Here is a 24,779-nt window from a genome sequence, read left to right as displayed (position 1 = left end):
TGCACCCGGCCCTCACTGCGGCCTTTAACTCCAGGGATCAAGTGATCCTCCTACTCCAGCCTCCTGAGGAGCTGGGACTACAGGTGTGTACCACTGTGCCTCACTGCTTTATTTCTTCTTTCTTTTCTTTTTTTCTCTCCCTTTCTTTCCTTCCTTCCTTTCCTTTCCTTTCTTTCTTTCTCTTTTTCTTTCCCTTTCTTCCCTTCCTTTTCTTTCTTTTTTCTTTCTTGAGACAGGGCCTTGCTATGTTGCCTAGTCTAGAAAACTATTATTTTTATCCCCATTTTACACACGCAGAAACTGGGGCAGGCAGGATCGCAGCCCTAGTTTCCCTCACACCACGCACTTATCTGCTCCATCTACTTATTTCCATTTACATATATTTATATTACAGCCTTTCCTCACACAGTGAAATTTACATCGGAAGCATGTGTTTCCATGCTTTTTTTTTTTTTTTTTTAATTATCATTGTGAATCAGACTTTAAAAAATGGGCGGTTGGAAGGGGACCTGTTGGGGAGATGGGGCTGGCAGAGGTAGCCCTAGGCAGCTGGGGAGGGGCCTGTGTGTGCCCCAGGCCTCCTGGGGGCCAGTCTGGAGTCATCAACAAGGATCCTGCCTGAGTCACTGGGGCACAGCCGCCAGAGATGCGAAGGACAAGGAAAGGTGCAGGCAGGTGGGCTGCCGCCCCCAGCCAGGATCCCAGCCTCTCCTCCCCCACACTGCTGCTCCATGCACAGAACGTTTACAGAGGGTGCAGGAACTGAATGGGTGGGAAGCTTTGCAGTCCATGACCTGTCAGAGACTTGGGGAGGATGGAGGGTTTGGGGGACTGGTTCTGGAGGCCAGGGCTAGAAGGAGCAGGTAGTCAACAAGTAAACTCACAAACAAAAGATAGAACATCGGACAGAGATCAGGGCAATAGCAAAAATAAGGCGGAAGGAGAGGTGAGAGTGAGAAGGCCAGCGTTTGGGGGAGGGTTGGCCGGAAGCGTACTCCTCCCACCCAGTTAAACAGATAAAGAGCCCCTCGGTGAGGGAAGGAACAATCCCTAGCCCGACTTGCTCCGCGAGGGCCCCTGCTAATCACTTTAGGGGATCATCCCAGCGTCCTCAGCTGTTTTTTTTTTTCCAGGAGAGGAGACTAATCCGAAGCTCAGAAAGGCTCAGTGCATTCCCAAGGTCGTTCAGCCAGGAGAGCGCTGAAGGGATCTGAGCTGAGAGCAAGTCTCAAACTCAGAGAATGGAGGAGCTGCCCCGGAAGTGGCTGCTCGAGGCTGCAGTGAACTATGATCCTGCGGCCAATCGCGGTGGCTCACGCCTGTAATCCCAGCCTTCTGGGAGGCCGAGGCGGGCGGATCGCTTGAGGTCAGAAGTTCGACACTAGCTTGGCCAACATGGTAAAACACCGTCTCTACAAAAAAATGCAAAAATTAGTTGGGTGTGGTGGCGCGCGCCTGTGGTCCCAGCTACTCAGGAGGCTGAGGTGGGAGGAACGCTTGAGCGGGGGAGGCGGAAGTTACAGTGAGTCGAGATCGCCCCACTGCACTCCAGCCTGGACAACAGAATGAGACCCTGTCTAAAAATAAAATACATGAGCCGAGTGCGGTGGCGCGCGCCTGTGATCTCACATACTCGGCAGGCTGAGGTTGGGAGAACCGCCTGAACCTGGGGACTGCACCACTGCATTCCAGCCTTGGTGACAGTGAGACCCTGTCTAAAAAAAAAAAAAAAAGTATCTGAGGCCTGTTGGCAGGGAAGCTGCAGGCAGGCGAGGTCAGGCCAAGCAGAGTCCTGCCTATCTGGAGAGCTTCCTGGAAGAGGCGGCTTTTTCTGGCTCCCGAAGCCGTGCGCTAGGGGTTGGGGGTCGTGCGTCTGGCCTCCCACCGCGACCCTGGTTCAGAACACGGCCGGAGTGAGAAGGGGGGTGCCGGGACCCAGGAGGCCGTAGGGACTTCCTGGTCCTACCCGGAGTAACCCTGGGGCTACGCCTGCTCCGAGCACCGGGATGGCGGTCCCTTTTATGGACCCAAACACTACGCCAGCCCAGCGAGGGCGGTGGGTGTCGGGTGCGAGGCCTGGAGGGCAGTGGGCGTCCCAGGGACTGGGCGGCTGAAGCCCCGCGCAGCGACTCAGAACCAGGCCGCCACCCACGCCCCGGGCCAGCGCGGAGAATCCTGTGCGCCTGCGCAGTGAGCGGCGGGGCGGCTCGGCGGCGCGCACGCAGCACGAGGGGCGGAGCCTCGGAGCCCGGGCACCCCTGACGGGCTGCACTGGGGAGGGGGAGGAGCCTCGAGGCCGGTTTGGAATTTTTGGCGCGAGCAGCTCCGCGCGCGTTCACGGGCCGTTCCCCCTCACGGGAGTCCTCCGCCCGGGCGTCCGGAACAGTCGACGGCAGACTCCGGCCCGCTGAGCCACCCGAGGGGTCCCGTGGCCTCCGCGGACCCGGAATCTGGGCCCTCGCGGACCCGCGCCCCGCCCAGTCGCCCCAGGTGAGCCCAGACCCCGCCGTGAGGGGCCTCGGCGTGGCCACCTCGCCGCTCCCCTCCGCCTCGCCAGGTCTGCGTTACCCCTGCCCCTCAGGCCTCCCCGGCGGCCCGCTCGCGTCCCCTCAGGCCCGCCCCCGCGAGCCCCTGCCTCCCGTCCTCCCCAATTCCTGGTTCCCTTGCCTCGAGCCCCTTCCCAGCGGCGGTCCCGCCCTACTCGCCCCTCCCGGAGACCCCGCCTGCTGTCCATCAACCCCGCGCCGCCGCCCTCCCCGTGACAGTCCTTCCTCCGTGACAGCCCCTGCCCCGGGACAGCCTCTCTTCTTCTGCAACAGCCCCTCTTCCCTCGTGACAGCCCGTCCACTGCTCTGTTCGCCAGGGCTTCCCCACACCCACGGAGTGAAGTCAGCCGCGGCCCTGCCTGGGAGGAACTTACCGTCTACCGGGAAAGGTGGCCAGCAGATGTGTCGGGCCTGGTGAGAGGGTGAGGCGAGACGGCCCGATCGCCCAGGGCCCCGGAAGCTGCGGAGGTCACCCCCGCCTGGCCTTAGCTCAGGGACACCCTGGATTCACGTGGGAGCCCCTGCTCCTGCCTCCCCCGTCCCACCACTGAGGCTGTTGGGCCAGGCCAGTCATGCTAGAACGTAAGTCGTAGGGCAGGGACGGTGGGAGAACTGGGTTAAGATGCACAGGCCCAGGTCCCCGAGTGTGCCAGGGTTGGGCCTGGAGGCTGTGCTTGTGACCAGTGACCTCCAGGATCCCAACACCCTGGCTCCTGACTTGGAGAAACCCTGGGCTGGGACTCTGAGGTAGTTAGAGTCAGAGGAAGAGTCTCCACAAGATGGAGGGCAGCCTGCCAGCCAGGCCCAGGTAGCATCGCTCCCCTCACCCCTGTACTCCCTCAGGTACTGGAGACTGCTCTTTTTAATTTTTTATTTACTATTATGTATATTTTTTTGAGATGGAGTTTTGCTCTTGTCGCCCAGTTGGAGTGCAATGCCGCAATCTCGGCTCACCGCAACTTCCACCTCCTGGGTTCAAGCATTTCTCCTGCCTCAGCCTCTGAGTAGCTGGGACTACAGGCATGCACCAGCACGCCCGGCAAAAATTTGTATCTTTAGTAGAGATGGGGTTTCACCATGTAGGCCAGGCTGGTCTCGAAGTCTTGACCTCAAGTGATCCACCCACCTTGCCTCCCGAAGTGCTGGGATTACAGGCGTGAGCCACCACACCCAGCCGCTCTATTGTTTTTTATAATACTTTGGTGCACCAGCCTCACCAACATGGTGAAACCACATCTCTACTAAAAATATAAAAATTATTCTAGTGTGTTGGCACACGCCTGTAATCCCAGCTACTCAGGAGGCTGAGGCAAGAGAATTACTTGAACCTGGGAGTCGGAGGCTGCAGTGGGCCGAGATCATACCACTGCACTCCAGCCTGGGCAACAGAGTGAGACCCTGTCTCAAAAACAAACAAACAAACAATACCTTGGGGCATAAAGTGTTCCACGGTCCAATCCAATTAAATTTTTTTTTTTTTTTGAGACAGAGTCTCGCTCTGTTGCCCAGGCTGGAGTGCAGTGGCATGATCTTGGCTCACTGTAATCTCTGCCTCCCAGGTTCAAGCAATTCCCCTGCCTCAGCCTCCCGAGTAGCTGGGACTACAGGCATGCACCACCACACCCAGCTAATTTTTGTATTTTTAGTAGAGATGGGGTTTCACCATGTTGGCCAGGCTGGACTCGAACTCCTCACCTCAGGTGATTTACTCACCTCAGCCTCCTAAAATGCTGGGATTACAGGCATGAGCCACTGTGCCTGGCCAGATCCAATTAATTTTGAGCTCCTTTGACAGGGTGGCTTTTGAGGTCAGTGAGGTTTGTTCTGACAGCAGGCAGGCTCTTCCTAGCTAGCTCTTTCTCCACTTCTCTGTGGTAAACTAGCTGGCCTATGGTTCAGCTGGTTGCCCTAATGCGGGTACCAGTCTCTTCTTAATGGCGCACCACCAAAACTTCCACTGATTTTGACAGCCCCTTTAAACTTGAACTTCCCTACGCACTGTTTCAAATCAAGCCAATTTTCAGGGGGTTGGTGGGTGGGGAGAGCTCTATTTATGACCTACGTCTACCCCTAGGCTAAATCTCTGTCTGAGCCATGCTGTGGAACTGGGGGCAGGACAGCGGGGCACCTCTCTGAGTGCTGCTATTGCTTTAGGAGCAGGTCGCTGGGTTGGGCAGGAGCCTCTGGCCTTCTTGGTTGCCCTCTCCCAGTGTGGAGCCTCCTTCCTACAAATGAGCTGGGGCTCCATGTTCCCAGCCTGCCGGGCCTGAGATATAGCCTCTATTCTATGCTTGGGGGCAGGTGGAAGAAAGGAGCCCCTGGCCTGTCTGCCACACTCAGCTGGAATTTAGCCTCTGCCATGTGGAGCTGGGAGGGTTGAGAAGTGCTGAGAACCTGGCCCTCCTGGGCAAACACCCTAACCCTTGACGGGGAGCTGGGGGAGAGGGAGCCCTTCTTCTTGGCCACACCTGCCCCCAGTGCTAGGCGGGGGGAGAGGGGTGCTGGAGGTGGGAGGGCAGGAGTGTCATGGCTCAGGTGCCAACAGGCTTGCCATTATTCCCAGGCCTTGGCAGGTTTTCTTGTGTAAACCTTTGTTTGCTGTGTGCCCTGGGCACCATGCCCAGAGGCTTTCAGTGCTTGCTTTTGAATAATCGTCATCAGTTGTGCTGTTTCACTGGGGCAGGGGTCCACGGAGCTGCACACACTGCCATTCTGGAAGTGGACACCACTAACTGGGTTTTGGCACGACAGTTATGAAAAAGAAAGACACTTGAGGGATTCCGGGTTTTCACTTTGGAATTGGAGATAAGGGATCGTGGGCCCGTGTAGTCTCGGAAGAGGTTGTGTAGTTTAGGATCAAAGAGCTGGCCGTGATGAGGGCAGGGATGCAGGCGCAGCCCGTCTGACTCCAAACTGCCTTGCTCTTAACCCGACTGCAAGACCCTCAAGAACACGGGCCCCATGGTTTTCCTCTTATGTTTCTATCATCTCTAAAATACAACAGCCTGGTGGGCAGGTGAGTATGAATCTGTCCTCTGCCTTTTCTTGGTAGGTGCTTATTGCTCCCATTGCCGTTTAAAGTAGAATAAGTGTGTGGTATAGACATAGCTCTCTTCTGTGGCCTCTTTGGAGCCACAGGGCCAGGTGGTATCAGAGTGGACATGCTGCCCTGTACTCAGCCTCTGTCTCTGCCCCCAGGGCCTCCTGCACTGGCCATGCCCATGCCCACGGAGGGCACCCCGCCACCTCTGAGTGGCACCCCCATCCCAGTCCCAGCCTACTTCCGCCACGCAGAACCTGGATTCTCCCTCAAGAGGCCCAGGGGGCTCAGCCGGAGCCTCCCACCTCCGCCCCCTGCCAAGGGCAGCATTCCCATCAGCCGCCTCTTCCCTCCTCGGACCCCAGGCTGGCACCAGCTGCAGCCCCGGCGGGTGTCATTCCGGGGCGAGGCCTCAGAGACTCTGCAGAGCCCTGGGTATGACCCAAGCCGGCCAGAGTCCTTCTTCCAGCAGAGCTTCCAGAGGCTCAGCCGCCTGGGCCATGGCTCCTACGGAGAGGTCTTCAAGGTGAGTGAGGGGACGGCTTCTAGGCCCATCTGGGGGACCTCCTTTGTGTTTCTGCACCTCCCTTGGCAGGACAGTGTCCTGGGCAGCCTGATCCCCTTCCGTTCCCTACAGCCTGTCCCTGCTGGGCTCACAGGCTCCCTCCACATTTGACTTGGCTGCTCCCATCATCCCCAATGCAGGCCCCTCCAGGGGTTGCTCTGTGCATACTGGCCCCTTGTCCAGAGTCTGGCACGCCCTGCAGCAGCCCCTGTGCCATCTCCTCCGGCCCTGGCGCCAGCTGTGCAGCGTCCTTGGCGAGTCGGCCCAGCCTCTGGCACTGGCCCTGAGTGCAGTGCCTGGCCAGCCCTCCCCAGGCTGGCAGGCTTTGAGCTACCCCCTGCCTGCCATCTTGCTTTTCTTAAACACAGTTTCCAGTCATTTATATTTTCTTTTAGAGAGGAGTTTTCCCTTGTATGAGTCCTGTATGAAGACAATTTTGTTAAAAAGTACAAACAACATTGGCCCCCAGGTCAGCTTTCTCACAGGGGAGCCCACTTTTCACACCACAGCCTGGGCTGCCTGTGTTGCTCTGCAGCTGCTTTTTCCACCTCGTGACACATCCAAGAGGTCCCCTGGGGTCAGTGCAGGTCGGCCCTGGCTCCTCCGTCGCTGGGTCTCCACAGACCCAGCCCGAGGGATGGAGGTTTGTCTGGTTTTGTTATTACCCTGGGCAGGGGTCTGAGACAGATGCCAGCTACACCACCGTGCCCCGTGTGTGAACCCTTAATGGGGTCTGCCAGGTTGTCCCCCTATGTGATTGTGCCACTTGTGGCTCACCCTCACTGTGTGCGTGGGTACCACCTCCCTTCCAGGTGCGCTCCAAGGAGGACGGCCGGCTCTATGCGGTAAAGCGTTCCATGTCACCATTCCGGGGCCCCAAGGACCGGGCCCGCAAGTTGGCCGAGGTGGGCAGCCACGAGAAGGTGGGGCAGCACCCATGCTGCGTGCGGCTGGAGCAGGCCTGGGAGGAGGGCGGCATCCTGTACCTGCAGACGGAGCTGTGCGGGCCCAGCCTGCAGCAACACTGTGAGGCCTGGGGTGCCAGCCTGCCTGAGGCCCAGGTCTGGGGCTACCTGCGGGACACGCTGCTTGCCCTGGCCCATCTGCACAGCCAGGGCCTGGTGCACCTTGATGTCAAGCCTGCCAACATCTTCCTGGGGCCCCGGGGCCGCTGCAAGCTGGGTGACTTCGGACTGCTGGTGGAGCTGGGTACAGCAGGAGCTGGTGAGGTCCAGGAGGGAGACCCCCGCTACATGGCCCCCGAGCTGCTGCAGGGCTCCTATGGGACAGCAGCGGATGTGTTCAGGTGGGGACCGGGGCACGCCAGGTGTTTGGCAGGCTGTGGGAGGCCCTTCCTGGGACGGAAGCTCCATTCCCCAGGAGGGAAGCTCCACCCTAGCCCAGGACACCCGGCCTCAGAGCCACAAGGCTGAGACGCCATCCCTGCCCTCCAGTGGAGAGCGTCTCTGGTCAGGCTGCCTGTGAGCCTCGAACCCTCCAGAGCCACTTTGTGTAACCTGCCTCCTCACAGCTCCACAGGAGAAACAATTGTCACTCCATTTACAGCCAGATTAAGGGCCTTGCCGGAGCCCACTGCTAGCAAGTGGCATAGCTGAGACTGGCCCTAGGTGCTGGGTTCCAGGGTCCACACTGGTAACCACTGCCCTGATCATCAGGATAGTAATACCTGCCAGCAGTAACTGTGGTGCCTGTCCATCAGGGCACTGGGAGGACTCACCACTGTGGCTTGTGGGCTCCCTGGGCACAGAGCCCATATTCCATGATGTCCCCATCCTGCCCAGGGTTCATGATCAGGCCTGTTGGGGTGTCCCTTCCCCCTGCTTCCGCCCCTCCCTGACTGATGAAGACAGCAGCCCTCTCCCACCCACCTCCAAGAGGCAGCCCTGGACTGGGTCTGTGTCCCAGGGCCAACCCTGCCCCTTTCTGTCCCCATCCCGTCCCTGCCAGTCTGGGCCTCACCATCCTGGAAGTGGCATGCAACATGGAGCTGCCCCACGGTGGGGAGGGCTGGCAGCAGCTGCGCCAGGGCTACCTGCCCCCTGAGTTCACTGCCGGTGAGTAGGTGAGGGCGGGAGGGGGTGCTGCCACGGGCTCCTGGGGAGATAGTGGCTGGCCATGGAGGCACTGCTGGGCTCAGGGTGCAGTCGGTGTTCTGGGACCCCGATGTGGCCCTTCCTCATGGGCAGGTCTGTCTTCCGAGCTGCGTTCTGTCCTTGTCATGATGCTGGAGCCAGACCCCAAGCTGCGGGCCACGGCCGAGGCCCTGCTGGCACTGCCTGTGTTGAGGCAGCCGCGGGCCTGGGGTGTGCTGTGGTGCATGGCAGCGGAGGCCCTGAGCCGAGGGTGGGCCCTGTGGCAGGTAAGCTCCCGACAGTGGCGGCTGCCTGCCCTGCTCCCCAGCCCCGGGGGTCCGCCCACCCACATCCTGAGCTCCTCTCCCCCACAGGCCCTGCTTGCCCTGCTCTGCTGGCTCTGGCATGGGCTGGCTCACCCTGCCAGCTGGCTACAGCCCCTGGGCCCGCCAGCCACCCCGCCTGGCTCACCACCCTGCAGTTTGCTCCTGGACAGCAGCCTCTCCAGCAACTGGGATGACGACAGCCTAGGGTGGGTTCAAGTGCAGGGTATGGGGGGCTAGGGGGAAGGTGGGGGATATCACCGGGGCTCCATGGAGATTCGTGGTGAATGGGGACCACTCCCACAAACCTGGCCCCCATCACATCCTGGGGAAGGGGACCAAGACTGGGGGTGTGTGGCCTGGCCAGGCTTAATGCAGCTGGGCATGTGGACTGGCCGTTCAGGGCATGGCTTCACACTTAGGGCACCAGCACCCCAGGGAGTGGCTGGCCGCGCAGCCCCGACCCCAGTGGAGGCTGCCAGTGCCCAGGGATAAAACATTGTCCCTTCTCTGGGAAGAGAAAGCCTCTGGAGTCTGGGGAGCCCTGCCCTGGGAACAAGTCCTTGGTCCCTGGGGCCTGGTGTCTTGAGTGAGAGGCTGTAATTAGGAAACCACACGCTCAGGGCAGACAGCTCTTGGGGACTCTGCCGTTAGCCCCTTCCTTACAAACACATCACCTCATCCCTCGGGGCACTTGATAGCAGACAAGAAGTTCCAGAAAGGCTTACATTTACTAAAAGTTTATTTCAAATCTGCCTCCAAGTCCATGTGTTCTGAAAAGGACAGAGGGGGCCTTGGAGTGCAGCCAGATGGAAGGACTTTGAAGGCTGTCCAAGTGCTGCTTTCAGAGTGCACCAAGTTTTTATTGTCCCTGACTGTGGCTCCCTGCCTGTTTGTCAGGCGGGAGCCTGGAGCCTGCACAGGGACAGAGCTGGTTTCATCCGGCACTCCCTAGCCCTGGACACCCTCCTTGTCTCGCCTGCCCTCCTGCAGGCCTTCACTCTCCCCTGAGGCTGTCCTGGCCCGGACTGTGGGGAGCACCTCCACCCCCCGGAGCAGGTGCACACCCAGGTAAGCAGGTCCAGGGGCTGGGGTGGGCAGGGCTAGCTTTTGGATCCTGAGTGTCACTACTCTCTCCTCCCAGGGATGCCCTGGACCTAAGTGACATCAACTCAGAGCCTCCTCGGGGCTCCTTCCCCTCCTTTGAGCCTCGGAACCTCCTCAGCCTGTTTGAGGACACCCTAGACCCAACCTGAGCCCCAGACTCTGCCTCTGCACTTTTAACCTTTTATCCTGTGTCTCTCCCGTCGCCCTTGAAAGCTGGGGCCCCTCGGGAACTCCCATGGTCTTCTCTGCCTGGCCGTGTCTAATAAAAAGTATTTGAACCTTGGGAGCACCCAAGCTTGCTCATGTGGCAACATGGCCCTTCCTGTCCCTTTATTGATGTCATCCAGGGTCTTAACGCCCCTGAGGCTGAGCCCTGCTGCAGAACCCAGCGCTCCTGGCCTTGGGCCAGCAGCTGAAGCCCCATGCTGTGTGGAGCAAAGAGGTTTCCTGAGCAGGCACATCCCCCGGTGGGTACCTGGAGCTGTTGGGAGTATGGCACTCAAGGTGGAGGGCAGGCACGGCCCAGGGGTCCCAGGATCTGAGGCCGCTGAGCTCCCTGTGTCAGTTTCCTGGAAGAAGCAGCTGCAGCCCTTGTGCCTGTGGCCAGCTGGTACAAGACGGGTCCACGCCCCCTTGGTCCTTTTGTCCTGAATGCCTTACTCCATAGTCTCTGGGCAGAGGGAGCCAGGGCGGGCAAGCTTGTGGCTGCTGGGAGGGCTGGTATGCAGGGCAGAAAGATGGAGATCAGGAAGACTGGCCACAGGCCTGGTGGGAGGAACAGGATAGGGTGAGGAGGCTCTGGGCTGGCGGCCTGGCAGGACTTGAACTCTCAGAGCAAGACGTGACCCCAGAGTCCCTCTCTGGTCTAACCCCACAGGTCACAGAGGGTAAAGAGGTCCCAAGAGGGAAAGGTTTCCTTCCAGCTGACACAGTAAAATAGGAGCTTGGAGGGAAAAGGCAGGGAAGGAAGTTGGAGCGCCACGGCGTGGGTGGAAGAGGTCAGTCCACAGGGAAGAACGGGTGAACAGGGCTCCTGCTGAGACATCTCATGAGCTGGAAGCATCCAAGGAGCCAGCCCCTTGCAGACGAGTTGGGAGGAACACCTGGTGTTGCTAACTCTAGGAGGCTGCTGTGGGCAGGCTGGCATGGCAGCTCAGTCCCGGGGACAGGCGTGGTGGGCAGCCCAGAGCAGGTCGGGCACGACGCCGGCGTGCAGCTGCAGGATGGAGCCCACGCTCAGCAGGTGCATGATCTGGTGGGAGTTGCCCCAGTAGTCAAAGCGGCCAGGTCCCCAGCGCTCGGGCAGACGGGCTACATTTACCAGTCCCCCAAGCAGCGCCAGTGCGTCCATGCGCAGGTAGCAGGGCAGGGAGCCTGGAGCCCCTGAACCCAGACCCACTCCCCGGGCCCCAAATACCAGTAGGCGGGCAGCAGCCTGCCATCCAAATGCCCGGAGCCGAGCACTGGTGGAGGGGGCGGTGAGAGCACGCCAGCCGGCCACACCCGACAACACAGTGTAGCCCACCAGGGCAGCCGGGCGCAGCCAGGGCCTGCAGGCCAGGGTGCAGTGGATGATGGGCAGGGCCCCTGCACAAGAGGAGAGAACAGGAGAGGGCATGTCATTGTGAGGGTCCACCCGCCCTTCCCTACCCATGGCTTGTATGCGTGCCCCATGCCTCTCCCGCCGGTGGCTCCAGCTCCCATCCCTTGGGCCCTGACTCACCAAGGGTGTTGACAAGGCAGACCCCACACATGTCCAGGGCGAGGAGCCGGGCGTACACAGCGCTGCCCCCTTGGTGGCACATAAAGAGGTGATAGAGCACGGAGCCTGCAGGGGGTGCAAGGCAGGCCACGCAATGTGTGCCTCCCAGCCAGCCATCCTTGCCCAGCTGACCCCAGGGCATGGTCATTGGCACCAGCACCAGGAAGCCCAGCAGGGCCAGCCCTAGGGAGGGAGACAGTCATCTACCAGATAGTTTCAGTCACATCCTCAAGGGGACCACGGTTCAGACACAACACAGGACAGGGCAAGACAGGTCCAGGTAATGCTGTCATCCAGTTGGCGGCCTGGCCTTGGCCAGAGACAGGCCCTGGGCAAAAGGCTTTTGGCACTGGTTACTTATCATGGCTCAGGATGGTCTGGGAAGTAGAGACCATGATCCCCACTTTGCAGGTGAGGAAACAGACTTGGAGGGGCTGAGTGACCGGCCCCGGGTGAGCCCAGCAGGTAAGCAATGGCAGAGGACAGGCCTAGGCCGTCCCACTCCCACACTGCTCTCCCCATACAAGCAGGTCACAGGAGAAGGCTAAGGCAGCGAAACCTCAAGTTGAGTTGTGAAGAGGACACATGAGCAGTGATGCCAGCCCGGGGCCACTTGGCTTGCTCTTCCCAACCCAAGTCCTCCCCTCTCCATAAGTGTCCAGACAAATGGAGGCACTGGGCCTTTTTATCTTCTATAAAGGGGTGAGGCCAGGTGGGGGAAGACAAGTCCAGAATGAAGGGAAGGGGGCTTCGAGGGGCTTGTCCCATCTCCCCAGACCTCTCCCTGGGGAGTTTGATTCCAGCCTAGCCCTTTCTGGGAGGTCTCCACCCCTCCCTGCCGGCCTCTAGTACTGGCCTCCCAGGGGCCAAACGGGGCTCCGAAGGCTGCCCACCCTTGTGAGAATGTGGCCTGGCAAAAGCTCGGGAAAGGCACCCAGGCTGGGCCAGGCCGCTCAGGGCCCCTTGCCCGCCTGGGGCAGCTCAAGGACGGGCAGGGCTGTGTCAGCAGAGCTCCGCGGGGCGCGGAGGAGGGGCCGGACGCCTGTTGGGGGAAGAAGGAGCCGCCACCAGGCGGAGCCCCAAGACAGAGCGGCTTGGGGCGGGGGCGTCAGGACGGCGGCGCTGGGAGGCTCCTCCCGGGCCCTCCTCATCGCAGTCAACACCATCTCCCGGCTGGGTGCTGGCGGGAGGGGGTTCCCAGGGCGCTGGGATTACAGAGGCCGGACACCATGCTCCCTACCCCTGGGGCTCAGAGGGATTAAGCAGGCTCAGACCCTACTCTGCTCCCCTCTCCTGACCCGGCCCCCACCCGCCGGGAAAACGGAAGCTGGCAGCGCGGCCCGGGACAATGGCAGCTTTGTCACCGCGGCTACTGGCGGTGCCAGGGCCGGGGCAGCCCTGGACTTGGGCGCTGGGGCCCTCCTCGGCCTCAGTGCCCCCGGCCCAACGCAGGTAGGGCGGCCGGGGGTGTGGGAAGCGCGTTGCGGGACGCGGCTCACCGTGCGTGTAGATGTTGCCCAGTTCGTTGTGCAGGTAGAAGAGGCTGCGCAGGCAGCCCGAGCCGCTGCTGGCGGGCCGGTACCCGGTCAGCACGAACTTATTGAACTGCAGGTGCGGCGGCGAGCTGGCCCAGTCCAGCAGGCGCGGCCCGGCCAGGAACGCCATGGTCCGCACCGCGCGGGCAGCCCGTGCTCCTGCTGTCCCCGAGCCTCCTCCTCAGTGGGGCCGCAGCGCGGGAAGGCCCATCACTGCCTGGCGCCCGGCGCCCGGCGCCCACCCATCGCCCTGCGCTCGATCGGCGCACGCGCTGGCTAGGGGGTCCCAGCCCGCGCCCCTCCGGCGCTGCGCACGCGCGAGTCCGTCGCCCCCGCGCCGGGGCGGAGGCTGGGGACGCACCGGACGCCTGAGCGCACTGCGGTCGGCTCCGCCAAGGCAGACGCGCCGCAGGGACAGCTCGCGGCGGCGGCGGCGGCGGTGGCCGGTAGTCTCTCTGCAGCCAGGAGGACGGGCGCGGCCGGACGCGGGAGGGGACGCCAGGCTCCGCCCAGGCTCCTAGTTCCCGCCGGCCGGCCAGCGTTTCGCGCGCCGGGCTCCTGACGTCGGCGCAGCGAGAGCCAATGGGCGTGGCCGGCGGGGAGGCTCCGCCCCGAGGCCGCCCAGGCCTCGCCTCCTAGCATAGTGTGCGCGCTCCCAGCCTCATTTGCATGGGGTGGCTGTGGGCTTGCGACCCAACGTTCTGGGTCCTGCGGGCTGCGCTAGAGTGACCCTGGCACCTCGCGTCCCTCAGAACTGTGCATCCGGGCTTTCCGCGTGACACCCAGGTCTCCGTACCTTTGGGCACCCACCCTCGGGGGCATAGTCCTGCCACCTAGCCCTACCCTGCAGACGGGGCTCTGTCCAAGGTGCTGCCGGACGGGTCCGGCCTACATCCGGTACGCCCCCGCTCCAAAGTGATCTTTCCGCAGGCTGGACTCCCGAGTGCAGCAAGGCGCTCCACGGTACCCAGGCCTCTGAAGGCGTGCCTCACGCGCCCGCAGCCGTCGGGAGAGGCCCTATCCTTCGCGCTAGGCTTCTCGGAGCGTGGGCCCGGCCCAACTTGCTCCCAGTTATCGCCCACAAGGAGCACCCTTGCGGGGCCCTACCGAGGATAGACAGGAAACAGATTGGAGGCCAGGGGAGCAAAGTCGACCTCCGCCCCGTCCACCCTGAGCAGGGACCGGGAAGGCACCCCTTATTCAGCATAACGCTGCCCACGATCCTCCTCCCCTTCCACCCCCCGCCTTCTACAGGACTCCACCCACCCACCCATCTGTCTGTGTTCTAGGTCCTTCTCTGCATTCCAGGCAGCTCCACCAAAGTCTGCGTGCAACGCCCTTCATTTGCATGGACACACGCAACCCTCGGCGTTTGTATGGTCATTAACATGCTCCTCCCACCACGGAAGAACTTTCGAGGCCCGTACCAAAGTAGATCCTTTATTCAAAATCTGTGGGGGTTTTTTGACTGTTTTTGCTGACCTGTGACCTCTCACTGAGGACGGCAGTCCAGGACCACCCCCAGAGGGGTTCAAAGACCTCCGAAACCAGAGACCACCCCCACATACAGGTCCATGGAGAGGGCCTGGACCATCTGGACCCCCACGGTCAGGCCAAGTCCCAGATAATAGCACCAGATGTTTCCTGTCCGACTTTTGGTCTCCCCAAGGCGACCAGAGGCCGAGCTGCCCCTACACAGGCGCAAGGCCGAGGCAGGGCGCAGCACAGCATCTCAGGTGTCCATCTCGCCGGCGGCGGGCCCAGCGGACCCTCGGGGCCCAGAGTCAGAGAGCGGAGATGAGCGAGCGCAGGGAGCTCTGGCTGGAGGCACTCAGAGGCCGGTAGCCCGCGGCAGAACCCTCAGCCTGGGGGTCCCCGGGGGAGCAGGGCAAGGCCACCCCTCGGGGCTGTTGGTACCACACAGCCCAGCTTCTCCTGGGGCCCCTGGAAGCCCCCAGCGCCGGGGGCCCTTTTCCCGGAGCCAGCAGACAGCTCCTAGAGAGGGAGCAGACATCAGCCGAGCCGGTCCAATCCCGCTGCAGCGTCCTGCTCTACCTGCGATCCCGCGCGCGATCCTGTGCGTGGACCCAAAGCCTCGCTCCCTTAAGAACCCAGGAGTTCCTTCCTAGCTCTGTTCCCTTCTGGGGCTCCAGCTCCCCACCACCGGTCCGCCCTCAGGCCCTGCCCCAGCGCCCCGCACCGTCGGCGCAGCGGACGCAGCAGCCCCAGGAGCAGCAGCAGCAGCACCGAGACAGCCGTCACCGTCGAGAAGACCCGGGCTGCGGGCACACGGCTGCGGTGAGGATGGGCGCGAGGGGGCGGCTCCCTGACTCACTCCCGTCCCGCGCGCCCGCCTCACCCCCAATCGCGGCCGGCGGAGCCCCAGGCCTGGGGCTGCAGCTCACGTTGGCCCCGTCGAGGGGCGCCGCGGGGGTCTGGGCCGAGCCCTCGGGGGCCTCTGGGTCCTCAGCGGCGTCCTGCAGCCCTGCGGAGAGGGGCGTGAGGCGGGGTGGGGAGAGCGGGGTGGGAACAGCGGGCAGGGCGCGCCGAGCTGAGGCTCACCGCGGTAGGTGAGCGCGAAGCCTTGCGCGTGGCCGCGCGCGTCGCTTCGGAAGGTGAGCAGCAGCGCGGCAGTGCCCAGGCGCAGCGGCCCGGACGGCGGTGGGCGGGCGCCATCGAAGGCGCGGAGCAGGCTGCCCGAAGCCGCGTCGCGCAGCTCCAGCCGGTCGCGCGGGTCGGCCAGCTCGAAGAGGCGGAAGGTGAGCTCCAGCGCGGCGCCTGGCGGGCCCAGGGCCCAGCTGCAGTTCCGGTCCGGCCCGTACTCGTCCGGGAAGTCCGGGGAGTAGATGACGCCCTGAGGCGCTGTCCAGTTCCCCTGGCAGGAGCCCACCGACACTGCGGGCGGGGCCGGCAGTCAGCATCCTGAGGACCAGGACACGGCGGCTCCCCTGCCCGGCCAGGCCCCACCTCGAGGCCCGCCCAGGCCCCTGGTCCCCGCCCACTCCTCACCTTCATAGACGCCCAGCCGCCCATCGCCGCCACACAGCTGTCCAGGGTGGCCGAAACAGATCTGGTCACAGTCGGTGGCGGGGGCCAGGCGTCCCCGGGCCAGGTCGCTTTCAGAGCCACAGAAGCAGGCGTAACCGGCCTCCACGCCCGCCAGCTGGGAGCACAGACTGGGTGACCCCAGGGCAGGGGCTGGGGTAGGGGTGAAGTGGTGGGGGCCTGGGGTCGGGGTGGGAATCGGGCTGGAGGTTCAGAAACCGGTGTCTGGGTTTGGCAACCGAGTGTTGGGAGTTGAGTGTGGTCTTTAGGTCCAGGTCAGGGGTCACTGGTCTGGGCCCGTGAGCAGTACCTGGTACCCCTTCATGCGGCAGAAGCGTAGGCACACCTGGACCGTGAGCTTCGTGGAGGTGCCGCTGGGGCCGCTGAGGGCTGGGGGTGCCCCTGAGTCCACAAAGCATCCCAGGTAGCCTGGCACTGAGGGGGCAGAGTCAGACTTCCGTGACTCCGAAAACAACCCTCCTCCCAGATGCAGCAGCGTTCCCACCTCTGTCCAGCCGCGCTACTCACTGTGACAGGAGGGGATGTCGCAGTAGCGCCAGTAGATGCCCTCCTCTGTCTCAGCCACGTAGCACCACGGCTGCACGTCACCGTCTGGGTTACTGCGGGTGGGAGGGAGGTGGTGGGGCTCCCACCACCCCAAGAATAGCAAACCCAGGCCCGGCCCCGCAGCCTATGCTCAAAGTGGCCTTCAAGGCTCTGTGCCTGTGAGCGGCTGTGCTGCCTGCTGTACACCCACAAATTCCAGTTTTGTCTACGCAGAACTCTGCCTGATGAAGGAACTGGACGTCGACTTCCGAGTGGACAGCGGGAAGTCATTAAAGGGGACTTGAGAGCTGTTTTTAGGCTTCAGCTGTTGCTAGACTTGACTCCATATATGAGGACTTTGAGGCCATCTGTATTCTTCACCCCCACCCGGCATGGGCCTCAGCCACTTCCGTCCCTCAAACCCCACTTTTTTTTTTTTTTTTTGAGACGAGTCTCGCTCTGTCACCCAGGCTAGAGTGCATTGGCGCGATCTCTGCTCACTGCAAGCTCCGCCTCCCGGGTTCAAGCGATTCTCCTGCCTCAGCCTCCTGAGTAGCTGGGATTACAGGCGCCCGCCACCATGCCCCGCTAATTTTTTGTATTTTTAGTAGAAATGGGGTTTCACCATGGTAGCCAGGCTGGTCTCGAACTCCTGACCTCAGATGATCCGCCTGCCTTGGCCTCCCAAAGTGCTGGGATTACAGGCTGAGCCACCGCGCCTGGCCTCCAACCCCACTTAAAAGCAGAAGTGAGCTCCTGAGCTTTGCGGCTCTCCTCCCGCTGGGTCCATCCTGCCTCAGACCGTAGCTGTGGCTCTGAACCCCAAAATAAGTTGTATGACAAGAGCCCCACTCTGACAAGGCCCCGCCCATTCGGCCCCCGCTCTGACCAGGCCCCGCCCATACGGGTCCTTTGAGTGCCCAGGTCCGTTTCTCTCCTGGCCCTGAACTGGAGCTCTGCAGAAATTGTTCACCTGAGGAGGATCCCTTTTGCGCCAGGGTTCCGCGCGCCCCGCCCCGCCCCGCCCCGCCCCTCATTCTGGCCCCGCCCCCAGGTTCTCCAGGAGGCTGGGCTGCCAGTCCACGGCAGACCTCCACCCCGCCCGCACGGAGGCCCCGCTTCGGGCCATCCCTGCAATGGTGAGCCCAGCCTCGCCCCCAGCGCAGGCCCCGCCCCTCACCGGCAGAAGTTGTGCGCGCCCAGCCCCCAGCGGCCGTGGGGGTCGCTGGCGCTGCTGTAGCTGTGTTGCTGCGTCTGGTCCCAGAAGAGGCACGGGCGGCCCGCCCCGCGCGGGCCAGTGCGGTTCTGGTGGCCGCGGTAGTCAGCCCCATTCACCTGGAAGCATTCGGACAGGCCTGCACGGCAAAGGCAGGGCCTGGGGAGGTCCGGACCCACGCCGGGCATCCTCGCGCCCCTACGCCACCTCCCGCCTGGGTCCCCAGCCAGCGACCCCGCACCCGCCCCTGCAGGAGCCCTCGGGCTGCTCAGCTGCTCCGGCCACCTGCTCTGTCCCCCTCCCTAGCCTTGGGGGCCTGGCCCTGGGGGCGGAGGCCGAGGAAGGGGTGGTGAACACGGCCCGACAGCCGTGCGGGGACTTACCTGGACTGTGCAGGCTCCCAGCCGAGGCCCCACGCGGCTGCAGCAGCGGGAGGAAGAGGAGAAAGAGGAAGCCCTGCAGGGCTTGTGTCCCCATCGCTCTCAACCAAGGATAGGTCACCCTCGCCCGGACACGGCCCGGGCTGCCCCCGGGGTCGCTTCGGGGTCTCCCAGGAGACCTAGGGGGCGTTGTCCTCTGACAGTCTCCCCTCGTCCGACTCTGAGCCGCGCTTTCCGTCTGGGGTGGGTAAATCTCTCCTGGGGGTCTTTGCCTCCCAGGGCCTCTGCCCCTAGAGGCGTCTCTCTGTCCCTGTCCCTACCCGGGTCTCTCCGGGGGGAATCTGGCCGGGGGCGTTCTCAGTCTCTGTCTCAGCGAGCTCTGGGCGGTGCCTCAGCCTCTACGCCCGCCCCCTCCCACTGAGCCTAGCTCTCGGCGTCTCCCTCGCCCAGGTCTCCAACGGGCTGACTCCTGCCCGCCTCGCATCCCTCCGTGGGTCCCTCCCCCTGGGTCTCTCCCTCCCCCCATGGGAGGCCGGGAAGCCCCGCCCAGCACTGGAGCGGAGGCAGCAGGTCCAGACGCCTCCCACGCCCGTTCCCCCGACCCCGGGCGTCCAGCGCTTCCCGGCCCCCTCTCCCTCAGGTCGGTGCCGGTTCAAGTGGGAAGGTGTGGAGGGGGACAGGCGGGGCAAGCGGACGGAAGGCCCTTAAAATGGGAGATACAGAACCCCCTCACGTGGTCGCACGCGCCCCAGGACACCCGGAATGTCCGAGTTACAAGCGCCCTCCTCCCAGTGCACGCACGCGCTCGCACTCTCTCCCATTCATTGCCAGGCGCTCACGCGCACACTTTCTTCGGATCCGCACGCCCCTCCCGCCCCTGGTCCAGATGCCGCTGGCCTGACGGAGGAAGCTCCACTCCCTGCCCCCGCGCCCACGAGACAGGCGGGAGTCGTGGACGCTCAGTCCGGGACAGGCAGGGGCAGCTGGTGTCTGGGGAGAAAGGCAGCTGCGCCCCAGGTCCCAGTCTGTCCCCTCCTCCTCCCCCTGCCCCGCCCTTCCCTGGGACCCCCAGCCCAGACTCTCCCGAGCCTTCACACTGCAGTGGAATTCCCCCAGCCGTGCCCCCCACCTGGCGGGGGAGGGGGAGGGGAGCAGGCCCAGGCAGGCGTGGGGGGAAATTCCCCGCCCCCTCCCCCTGGGCCCGACTCCTCCGAGTCCTCTGATCTCCCAGCGCCACCCGCCCGCTGCCCCCAGGGCTTGGGGGGAGGCCAGCGCAGGTGCGTGGGAGGGCGGAGGCGGGGGCCGGGGGAAGGAACTGGTGGGGGCCGGGCGCCCAGAGCGGCCCCGCCCCGCCCAGACCTCTTTGCCCCTCAGTCCAGCCTGCCCAGCCCGCACCAGGCCCTCGCCAAGCTGTCGAGCCCAGGCCGACCAGTCCCCGCCCTGCAGCCCCCACACCGTCTCTGCCCCGGTGTCGATGGAGAAGAAAGATGGGGTTCAGGGAGGTTCTGTCAGGCCCAGGCACCCACTGCGGTGCTGGGACCCGCGAGGATCTTCCAGCTGGCGCCTCACGCGAGTGTGCTCTGGAGGAGGGGCGTGGAGCCGAGGTGGGGGCATTTGAAGGAGATGGACTTGCTGAGACTCTAGGCCAGGGTCCTGGTCGCCTCCTCCGGGAGCCCTCTCAGAGGCCAGGCTGGCCCGGCTCACTGAGCCCTGAGCTGGGGCCTCCAGCACCCACGGGCTCCCTGGAACCCAACTGCGCTTCCCGACGAGGGAGCATCCGGGACCACCTGTCTGCCCGGTTTCTCTTGGCGGGGGCTCAGTGAAGTCCTCCCGGGCTCCAGTCCACAGAGGATGTCCTAGGGGCAGGCCTGCACAATGGCGGTGCGTGGGGAGCTTCACCCCCACAGCCACAGCCATCTGAGGATGGGGCAAGGTGGCGACAGGGACAATTAAGGACTCTGTGCGGAAAGGGGGCCGGCTTGGGACGCTGGTGGAGGAATCAGCCCCTTCCCTTGAGAGAGTAGGGTCTGAAAGAACCGTCCCTCTGTCCCTGGCACTGTGACACCCGGTTCGGTTGGCCCAGGCCTGTCTCCTCCAGAGGGGGCAGGGGGTGAGAGGAAGTGGGTGCTCAGTGCTGAGGCTGGGGCACTGAGATGGAGTGGGGTGGAGTATCCCTGCGGCAAACTTCAGTCTCAGGTCACTCACGGAAACTTCCAGAACTAAGAAGCCCACCCCCCACCACTTCCCCAGCATTTGGCACTCAGGGCTCTGCAAGCAGCGGCATGTCTGCCCTCCTGACGCCCTGCGAGAGGGGACAGGCTCATCTCCCCATTCTGCAGATGGGGCGCAGAGGTGGTAACTGGGTGACTCGTGGGCGTCACCAGCTATTAAGCGTTGGAACTGGGCTTCAAGCTCCGCCTGGTCTGATCCAGGGGCTGGGCGCTGATTCATGCCTCCATGTCGCTTCCAGGGTCTCTGATTCTTCAGGGACCTCTGGGCACACAGAGATACTCTCTCACATGCTCTGAGGGGCTCCTCACCCCTCGAATGTCGTTGCCGCCAGCTGACACTTTGGAAGCAGGATCTCCAGCAGCCCATTTCACAGACAGGGAGACTGAGGCCAGACTGGGGCAGGGGTCGGCCTGGGGTCCCTAGGGCCTGACAGGCTTGGCATGTCATCTCTGAGGGAAGCAGATGCACAGGTGCAGATTGGCCACATGGGGGCGGCAGAGAGAAAGGAGCCAAAGAGGTAGGTGCAGAAGCAACCCAGGGGCCAGCCTGGCATTTCTCTCCTATGGGACATGGAACACAGGATTTGCCCTGCCCAAGTAGGGAGAAGGTGAGAAGTTGGGGGACCTGGGCAAGAGGAGGGACCAGGCCACTTTGCCCCAGTCAGCCCCCCAGGAAGGGGAGGAGCAGGCTCAGCCCTGCCCTTCTTAAGGCGGTGCAGGGTGGCCGTGTTTGAGCCCAGCCCTTTCCTGCCGGGAGCTCTGGGTCAGGGCCAGACCCGGTGCAGTCAGGACGCCTGGGTTCCACCTGGGGCTGCTCAGCTGCCCTTGGTCTTCTTGCTTTTTTTTTTTTTTTTTTTGAGACGGAGTCTTGCTCTGTCACCCAGGCTGGAACGCAGTGGCGCGATCTTGGCTCACTGCAACCTCTGCTTCCTGGGTTCAAGCGATTCTCCTGCCTTAGCCTCCCGAATAGCTGGGATTGCAGGTGGGTGCCACCACACCTGGTTAATTTTGGTATTTTTAGTAGAGACGGGGTTTTGCCATGTTGGCCAGGCTGGTCTCGAACTCATGACCTCAGGTGATCTGCCCCCCCACTCGGCCTACGAAAGTGCTAGGATTACAGGTGGGCGCCGCCACGCCTGGCTAATTTTTGAATTTTTAGTAGAGACTTTTTTTTTTTTCTTTTTTTAGACAGAGTCGCTGTCTTGTCGCCCCGGCTGGCGTGCATTGGCGCCATCTCGGCTCACTGCAATCTTGAGATGGGGTTTTGCCATGTTGGCCAGGTTGTTCTGGAACTCCTGACCTCAGGTGATCTGCCTCCCTCGGACTCCCATAGTGCTGGGATTACAAGCGTGAGCCACCTTGCCCGGCCCTTCCTTCCTTTTTCTCATCTCTCTGGTGGTGACAGTGTTCCACCTGGGGCCCACTCCTCATGGCAGAGGCACATCAGGGCCACCAAGGCAAAAGGAAGCCCCAGAAATCTGTGGGCAGGGGGTCCCCCTGGAGGCCGCTGGGGAGGCCCTGGGAGAGATGAACCAGGCCAGGCCTCACCTCCACACTCTGTCTTCAGGAGGGCGGTGGGTCAGTGGACCACCTCTCCTGGGTGACAGCTGGATGAGGAATGGGTGGGGTAGGGGTTCGTGGGCCCCTCTGAGACCCTGAGAGCAGCCCTGGGGGATCTTTCGGGGCCTTCCCAGGGGTTCAGAAAGAGGCCCCTGCTGAGGGGCTGCAAGTCCCAGTTGTGACCTCACCCATCCTCAGCAGCAATGATACTTTGTCCTGTCCCCCTTCCTGGGACAGCTGTGTTCCTCCTGCCTGCTTCCTAGCTGCACTCCCTACCTGTGTTTACTGATCCCAGTTCCTCCAGCTCCTGCACAAACACTAGACTCATTTCCCCACTTCCCCTACATGAGGTGTGGCTAGCGGGGGAATAGCAGGAGTGGCATCTCTCAGTACTCAAAGTTCGGAGCCTGGACCAGCGCCATTATTACCGGGGAGCTTGTTAGAAATGTGGCTCTTGGGCCGGGCACGGCGGCTCACGCCCGTAATCCCAGCACTTTGGGAGGCTGAGGCAGGCGGATCACCTAAGGTTGGGAGTTCAAGACCAGCCTGACCAACATGGAGAAACCGCATCTCTACTGAAAATACAAAATTAGCCGGACGTGGGGGCTCATGCCTGTAATCCCAGCTACTTAAGAGGCTGAGGCATGAGAATCGCTTGAACCCAGGAGGCAGAGGTTGCGGTGAGCCGAGATCGTGCCACTGCACTCCAGCCTGGGCAACAAGAGCGAAACTCCGTCTCAAAGATGGAAGGAAGGAAGGAAGGAAGGAAGGAAGGAAGGAAGGTAGGTAGGTAGGTAGGTAGGTTGGTTGGTTGGTTCATTCTTGGTTGGGTGCAGTGGCTCACACCTGTAATCCCAGCACTTTGGGAGGCCGAGGTGGGCAGATCATGAGGTCAGGAGTTTGAGACCAGCCTGGCCAACATGGTGAAACCCCGTCTCTACTAAAAATACAAACAGCTGGGTATGGTGGTGCATGCCTGTAATCCCAGCTACTCGGGAGGCTGAGGCAGGAGAATCTTTTGAACCCGGCAGGCAGAGGTTGCAGTGAGCCGAGATGGCACCATTGCATTCTACCCTGGGTGACGACTGAAACTCCATGTCAAAAAAACAAAAATAAAAATAAACAAACAAATAAATAGAGACAGAGTCTACCGATGTTGCCCAGGATGGTCTGGAACTCCTGAGCTCGAGTGATCCACCACCTTGGCCTCCCAAAGTGCTAGGATGACAGGTGTGAGCCACACCATATCGGGCTAGAACACTTTCACAGGATCCCTGGAAAGTCCCTGCCAGGTCTGGCCTGCCACAGCCTCAGCTTCTCTCTTCTCCATTCACCAACTGAGCGGAGGGGATACCTTGGGGAGGGTGGAGGGAGCTGGATCCCCGAGTGACCTGGTGGAAGGTGCCTGCCAACCGGAAGTCTCGGCACAAATCTCTGAATGACTGAAAAACAAACATCTGTGGGTTAAGTCACCAAGACCGCGGGCTTGCCGGGTACGGCACCTGGCCCAGTCCCTCCTCCCTTGCCCATCCCACTCTTTTCTTCTGTGTTGCCTTCCTTGGTTGTGGAAGCCTCACTCTCACTGCCTTCATCTTCACACGGTGTTCTTCATGTGTGCAGCTCTGTGTCCAAATTCCACCCCTGCCCTGTCACCTTTTATTTCTTTTCTTTTTTTTTTATTTTGAGATAGGGTCTTGCTCTGTCGCCCAGGCTGGAATGCAGTGGTGTGATCATGGCTCACTGCAGCCTCAGTCTCCTGGCCTCAAGCAATTCTCTCACCTCAGCCTTCCAAGTAGCCAGGACCACAGGGGCGTGCTGCCACATTCAGCTAATTTTTTTTTTTTTTTTTTTTGAGATGTAGAATCGCTCTGTCGCCCAGGCTGGAATGCAGTGGCATGATCTCGGCTCACTGCGACCTCCGCCTCCCAGGTTCAAACACTTCTCTGCCTCAGCCTCAGCCTCCCGAGTAGCTGGGATTACAGACATGTGCCACCACACCCGGCTAATTTTTGTATATTTAGTAGGGACAGGGTTTCACCATCTTGGCCAGGCTGGTCTTGAACTCCTGACCTTGTGATCCACCTGCCTCGGCCTCCCAAAGTGCTGGGATTACAGGTGTGAGCCACCGCGCCCGGCCAGCTTATTTATTTATTTTTGAGACGGAATTTCGCTCTTGTTGGCCAGTCTGGAGTGCAATGGCGTGATCTTCGCTCACTGCAACCTCTACCTCTTGGGTTCAAGAGATTCTCCTGCCTCAGTCTCCTGAGTAGCTGGAATTACAGGCGTCTACCACCACGCCCGGCTACTTTTCTGTATTTTTAGTAGAGATAGGGTTTTACCATATTGGCCAGGCCGGTCTCGAACTCCTGACCTCAGGTGATCCACCCACCTCAGCCTCCCAGAGTTCTGGGATTACAGGCATGAGCCACCACGCCTGGCCTTATTTTTTTATTTTATTCAATTAATTAATTTATTTTTGAGACGGAGTCTTGCACTATGGCCCAGGCTGGAGCGCAGTGGTGTGATCTGGGCTCACTGCAACCTCCGCCTCCCGGGTTCAAGCGGTTATCGTGCCTCAGCCTCCAAAGTTTCTGGGATCACAGGCATCTACCACCACGCCCAGCTAATTTTTTGTAGTTTTAGTAGAGATGGTGTTTCACTATGTTGGGCAGGCTGGTCTCAAACTCCTGACCTTGTGATCCACCCACCTCGTCCTCCCAAAGTGCTGGGATTACAGGCTTGAGCCACTGTGCCCGGCCCCTATTTTTTTATTTTAAATGGGGTTTCGCTATGTTGCCCAGGCTGGTCTTGAACTGCTGGGCTCAAGCGA

At 61.8% G+C, this 24,779-nt stretch overlaps 3 protein-coding genes across 24 annotated transcripts, besides 26 other annotated features; 1 reads left to right on the top strand and 2 right to left on the bottom strand.

The window, feature by feature from the left end:
• Positions 1,011-1,887: an enhancer, noted in NCBI's record as "H3K27ac-H3K4me1 hESC enhancer chr16:3030890-3031766 (GRCh37/hg19 assembly coordinates)". NCBI's record gives its function as "activates a minimal SCP1, AML or CMV promoter by ChIP-STARR-seq in naive H9 embryonic stem cells {active_cell/tissue: H9 hESC(naive)}" and the evidence as "EXISTENCE:reporter gene assay evidence [ECO:0000049][PMID:30033119]".
• Positions 1,888-2,763: an enhancer, noted in NCBI's record as "H3K27ac-H3K4me1 hESC enhancer chr16:3030014-3030889 (GRCh37/hg19 assembly coordinates)". NCBI's record gives its function as "activates a minimal SCP1, AML or CMV promoter by ChIP-STARR-seq in naive H9 embryonic stem cells {active_cell/tissue: H9 hESC(naive)}" and the evidence as "EXISTENCE:reporter gene assay evidence [ECO:0000049][PMID:30033119]".
• Positions 1,997-2,356: a silencer, noted in NCBI's record as "silent region_7097". NCBI's record gives its function as "represses an Ori minimal core promoter by ATAC-STARR-seq in GM12878 lymphoblastoid cells {active_cell/tissue: GM12878}" and the evidence as "EXISTENCE:reporter gene assay evidence [ECO:0000049][PMID:35858748]".
• Positions 2,330-9,968, top strand: PKMYT1 (protein kinase, membrane associated tyrosine/threonine 1). Of its 14 annotated transcripts, none has more exons than NM_001437991.1 (9): positions 2,330-2,490; positions 2,864-2,968; positions 5,745-6,112; positions 6,964-7,457; positions 8,120-8,226; positions 8,359-8,531; positions 8,619-8,776; positions 9,561-9,638; positions 9,712-9,968. In NM_001437991.1, exons 3-9 carry the CDS (start codon positions 5,762-5,764, stop codon positions 9,821-9,823), a joined length of 1,473 nt encoding a protein of 490 aa, NP_001424920.1. In that variant the 5' UTR covers positions 2,330-2,490; positions 2,864-2,968; positions 5,745-5,761; the 3' UTR covers positions 9,824-9,968. The 14 variants fall into 14 exon arrangements, with proteins under 14 accessions (NP_001424920.1, NP_001245379.1, NP_004194.3 ...); NM_001258450.2 differs by having other exon boundaries at positions 2,864-3,128; positions 5,952-6,112; NM_004203.5 differs by having other exon boundaries at positions 2,864-3,128.
• Positions 2,367-2,596: a silencer, noted in NCBI's record as "silent region_7096". NCBI's record gives its function as "represses an Ori minimal core promoter by ATAC-STARR-seq in GM12878 lymphoblastoid cells {active_cell/tissue: GM12878}" and the evidence as "EXISTENCE:reporter gene assay evidence [ECO:0000049][PMID:35858748]".
• Positions 2,764-3,640: an enhancer, noted in NCBI's record as "H3K27ac-H3K4me1 hESC enhancer chr16:3029137-3030013 (GRCh37/hg19 assembly coordinates)". NCBI's record gives its function as "activates a minimal SCP1, AML or CMV promoter by ChIP-STARR-seq in primed H9 embryonic stem cells {active_cell/tissue: H9 hESC(primed)}" and the evidence as "EXISTENCE:reporter gene assay evidence [ECO:0000049][PMID:30033119]".
• Positions 9,292-13,428, bottom strand: PAQR4 (progestin and adipoQ receptor family member 4). Of its 6 annotated transcripts, none has more exons than NM_001324118.2 (4): positions 12,936-13,428; positions 11,398-11,619; positions 11,092-11,261; positions 9,292-10,890 (listed from the first exon to the last, which is right to left on the bottom strand). In NM_001324118.2, exons 1-4 carry the CDS (start codon positions 13,099-13,101, stop codon positions 10,828-10,830), a joined length of 621 nt encoding a protein of 206 aa, NP_001311047.1. In that variant the 5' UTR covers positions 13,102-13,428; the 3' UTR covers positions 9,292-10,827. The 6 variants fall into 6 exon arrangements, with proteins under 6 accessions (NP_001311047.1, XP_047289564.1, NP_689554.2 ...); XM_047433608.1 differs by having other exon boundaries at positions 11,398-11,502; NM_152341.5 differs by having other exon boundaries at positions 9,292-11,261.
• Positions 10,358-11,174: an enhancer, noted in NCBI's record as "H3K4me1 hESC enhancer chr16:3021603-3022419 (GRCh37/hg19 assembly coordinates)". NCBI's record gives its function as "activates a minimal SCP1, AML or CMV promoter by ChIP-STARR-seq in naive H9 embryonic stem cells {active_cell/tissue: H9 hESC(naive)}" and the evidence as "EXISTENCE:reporter gene assay evidence [ECO:0000049][PMID:30033119]".
• Positions 12,424-12,563: a silencer, noted in NCBI's record as "silent region_7095". NCBI's record gives its function as "represses an Ori minimal core promoter by ATAC-STARR-seq in GM12878 lymphoblastoid cells {active_cell/tissue: GM12878}" and the evidence as "EXISTENCE:reporter gene assay evidence [ECO:0000049][PMID:35858748]".
• Positions 12,834-12,953: a silencer, noted in NCBI's record as "silent region_7094". NCBI's record gives its function as "represses an Ori minimal core promoter by ATAC-STARR-seq in GM12878 lymphoblastoid cells {active_cell/tissue: GM12878}" and the evidence as "EXISTENCE:reporter gene assay evidence [ECO:0000049][PMID:35858748]".
• Positions 12,984-13,033: a silencer, noted in NCBI's record as "silent region_7093". NCBI's record gives its function as "represses an Ori minimal core promoter by ATAC-STARR-seq in GM12878 lymphoblastoid cells {active_cell/tissue: GM12878}" and the evidence as "EXISTENCE:reporter gene assay evidence [ECO:0000049][PMID:35858748]".
• Positions 13,044-13,213: a silencer, noted in NCBI's record as "silent region_7092". NCBI's record gives its function as "represses an Ori minimal core promoter by ATAC-STARR-seq in GM12878 lymphoblastoid cells {active_cell/tissue: GM12878}" and the evidence as "EXISTENCE:reporter gene assay evidence [ECO:0000049][PMID:35858748]".
• Positions 13,244-13,663: a silencer, noted in NCBI's record as "silent region_7091". NCBI's record gives its function as "represses an Ori minimal core promoter by ATAC-STARR-seq in GM12878 lymphoblastoid cells {active_cell/tissue: GM12878}" and the evidence as "EXISTENCE:reporter gene assay evidence [ECO:0000049][PMID:35858748]".
• Positions 13,244-14,446: a biological region, named in NCBI's record as "H3K27ac-H3K4me1 hESC enhancer GRCh37_chr16:3018331-3019320".
• Positions 13,457-14,446: an enhancer, noted in NCBI's record as "H3K27ac-H3K4me1 hESC enhancer chr16:3018331-3019320 (GRCh37/hg19 assembly coordinates)". NCBI's record gives its function as "activates a minimal SCP1, AML or CMV promoter by ChIP-STARR-seq in primed H9 embryonic stem cells {active_cell/tissue: H9 hESC(primed)}" and the evidence as "EXISTENCE:reporter gene assay evidence [ECO:0000049][PMID:30033119]".
• Positions 13,924-14,003: an enhancer, noted in NCBI's record as "active region_10290". NCBI's record gives its function as "activates an Ori minimal core promoter by ATAC-STARR-seq in GM12878 lymphoblastoid cells {active_cell/tissue: GM12878}" and the evidence as "EXISTENCE:reporter gene assay evidence [ECO:0000049][PMID:35858748]".
• Positions 14,396-18,501, bottom strand: KREMEN2 (kringle containing transmembrane protein 2). Of its 4 annotated transcripts, none has more exons than NM_172229.3 (9): positions 18,162-18,501; positions 17,743-17,917; positions 16,545-16,636; positions 16,327-16,451; positions 15,981-16,134; positions 15,534-15,866; positions 15,331-15,456; positions 15,172-15,250; positions 14,396-14,966 (listed from the first exon to the last, which is right to left on the bottom strand). In NM_172229.3, the coding sequence occupies exons 1-9, from the start codon at positions 18,253-18,255 to the stop codon at positions 14,756-14,758; spliced, it is 1,389 nt and encodes a 462-aa protein (NP_757384.1). In that variant the 5' UTR covers positions 18,256-18,501; the 3' UTR covers positions 14,396-14,755. The 4 variants fall into 4 exon arrangements, with proteins under 4 accessions (NP_757384.1, NP_001240655.1, NP_078783.1 ...); NM_001253726.2 differs by having other exon boundaries at positions 15,981-16,017; NM_024507.4 differs by lacking the exon at positions 15,172-15,250.
• Positions 16,725-17,684: an enhancer, noted in NCBI's record as "H3K27ac-H3K4me1 hESC enhancer chr16:3015093-3016052 (GRCh37/hg19 assembly coordinates)". NCBI's record gives its function as "activates a minimal SCP1, AML or CMV promoter by ChIP-STARR-seq in naive and primed H9 embryonic stem cells {active_cell/tissue: H9 hESC(naive and primed)}" and the evidence as "EXISTENCE:reporter gene assay evidence [ECO:0000049][PMID:30033119]".
• Positions 16,725-17,852: a biological region, named in NCBI's record as "H3K27ac-H3K4me1 hESC enhancer GRCh37_chr16:3015093-3016052".
• Positions 17,003-17,122: an enhancer, noted in NCBI's record as "active region_10289". NCBI's record gives its function as "activates an Ori minimal core promoter by ATAC-STARR-seq in GM12878 lymphoblastoid cells {active_cell/tissue: GM12878}" and the evidence as "EXISTENCE:reporter gene assay evidence [ECO:0000049][PMID:35858748]".
• Positions 17,483-17,852: a silencer, noted in NCBI's record as "silent region_7090". NCBI's record gives its function as "represses an Ori minimal core promoter by ATAC-STARR-seq in GM12878 lymphoblastoid cells {active_cell/tissue: GM12878}" and the evidence as "EXISTENCE:reporter gene assay evidence [ECO:0000049][PMID:35858748]".
• Positions 17,923-18,172: a silencer, noted in NCBI's record as "silent region_7089". NCBI's record gives its function as "represses an Ori minimal core promoter by ATAC-STARR-seq in GM12878 lymphoblastoid cells {active_cell/tissue: GM12878}" and the evidence as "EXISTENCE:reporter gene assay evidence [ECO:0000049][PMID:35858748]".
• Positions 18,703-18,782: a silencer, noted in NCBI's record as "silent region_7088". NCBI's record gives its function as "represses an Ori minimal core promoter by ATAC-STARR-seq in GM12878 lymphoblastoid cells {active_cell/tissue: GM12878}" and the evidence as "EXISTENCE:reporter gene assay evidence [ECO:0000049][PMID:35858748]".
• Positions 19,269-20,266: an enhancer, noted in NCBI's record as "H3K27ac-H3K4me1 hESC enhancer chr16:3012511-3013508 (GRCh37/hg19 assembly coordinates)". NCBI's record gives its function as "activates a minimal SCP1, AML or CMV promoter by ChIP-STARR-seq in primed H9 embryonic stem cells {active_cell/tissue: H9 hESC(primed)}" and the evidence as "EXISTENCE:reporter gene assay evidence [ECO:0000049][PMID:30033119]".
• Positions 19,333-19,462: a silencer, noted in NCBI's record as "silent region_7087". NCBI's record gives its function as "represses an Ori minimal core promoter by ATAC-STARR-seq in GM12878 lymphoblastoid cells {active_cell/tissue: GM12878}" and the evidence as "EXISTENCE:reporter gene assay evidence [ECO:0000049][PMID:35858748]".
• Positions 19,493-19,572: a silencer, noted in NCBI's record as "silent region_7086". NCBI's record gives its function as "represses an Ori minimal core promoter by ATAC-STARR-seq in GM12878 lymphoblastoid cells {active_cell/tissue: GM12878}" and the evidence as "EXISTENCE:reporter gene assay evidence [ECO:0000049][PMID:35858748]".
• Positions 19,653-19,782: an enhancer, noted in NCBI's record as "active region_10288". NCBI's record gives its function as "activates an Ori minimal core promoter by ATAC-STARR-seq in GM12878 lymphoblastoid cells {active_cell/tissue: GM12878}" and the evidence as "EXISTENCE:reporter gene assay evidence [ECO:0000049][PMID:35858748]".
• Positions 20,267-21,264: an enhancer, noted in NCBI's record as "H3K27ac-H3K4me1 hESC enhancer chr16:3011513-3012510 (GRCh37/hg19 assembly coordinates)". NCBI's record gives its function as "activates a minimal SCP1, AML or CMV promoter by ChIP-STARR-seq in primed H9 embryonic stem cells {active_cell/tissue: H9 hESC(primed)}" and the evidence as "EXISTENCE:reporter gene assay evidence [ECO:0000049][PMID:30033119]".
• Positions 23,453-23,542: an enhancer, noted in NCBI's record as "active region_10287". NCBI's record gives its function as "activates an Ori minimal core promoter by ATAC-STARR-seq in GM12878 lymphoblastoid cells {active_cell/tissue: GM12878}" and the evidence as "EXISTENCE:reporter gene assay evidence [ECO:0000049][PMID:35858748]".

The sequence above is a fragment of the Homo sapiens genome, chromosome 16 (genome assembly GCF_000001405.40).
Source record: "Homo sapiens chromosome 16, GRCh38.p14 Primary Assembly".
Taxonomy (NCBI): Eukaryota; Metazoa; Chordata; class Mammalia; order Primates; family Hominidae; genus Homo; species Homo sapiens.
The sequence above is the reverse complement of the archived record's forward strand: the minus strand, read 5'-3'. Positions and strand labels throughout refer to the sequence as shown.

What these genes read in the sequence shown, in the direction of transcription:
- PAQR4 (NM_152341.5), bottom strand. Translation starts at nt 13,101, where the DNA reads ATGGCGTTCCTGGCCGGGCCGCGCCTGCTGGACTGGGCCAGCTCGCCG. An exon ending in GGGCAACATCTACACGCACG is followed by an intron (nt 11,620 to 12,935) that starts GTGAGCCGCGTC and finishes CTCCCTCCCTAG; the next exon opens with GGCTGGCCCTGCTGGGCTTC. An exon ending in CTGCCTTGTCAACACCCTTG is followed by an intron (nt 11,262 to 11,397) that starts GTGAGTCAGGGC and finishes CCTCTTGTGCAG; the next exon opens with GGGCCCTGCCCATCATCCAC.
- KREMEN2 (NM_172229.3), bottom strand. Translation starts at nt 18,255, where the DNA reads ATGGGGACACAAGCCCTGCAGGGCTTCCTCTTTCTCCTCTTCCTCCCG. An exon ending in GCCGCATGAAGGGGTACCAG is followed by an intron (nt 16,135 to 16,326) that starts GTACTGCTCACG and finishes CTGTGCTCCCAG; the next exon opens with CTGGCGGGCGTGGAGGCCGG. An exon ending in CTGCGTCCGCTGCGCCGACG is followed by an intron (nt 14,967 to 15,171) that starts GTGCGGGGCGCT and finishes CTCCCTCTCTAG; the next exon opens with GAGCTGTCTGCTGGCTCCGG.
- PKMYT1 (XM_047434868.1), top strand. Translation starts at nt 5,708, where the DNA reads ATGCTGCCCTGTACTCAGCCTCTGTCTCTGCCCCCAGGGCCTCCTGCA. An exon ending in CCTACGGAGAGGTCTTCAAG is followed by an intron (nt 6,113 to 6,963) that starts GTGAGTGAGGGG and finishes CCTCCCTTCCAG; the next exon opens with GTGCGCTCCAAGGAGGACGG. An exon ending in ACAGCAGCGGATGTGTTCAG is followed by an intron (nt 7,458 to 8,119) that starts GTGGGGACCGGG and finishes CGTCCCTGCCAG; the next exon opens with TCTGGGCCTCACCATCCTGG.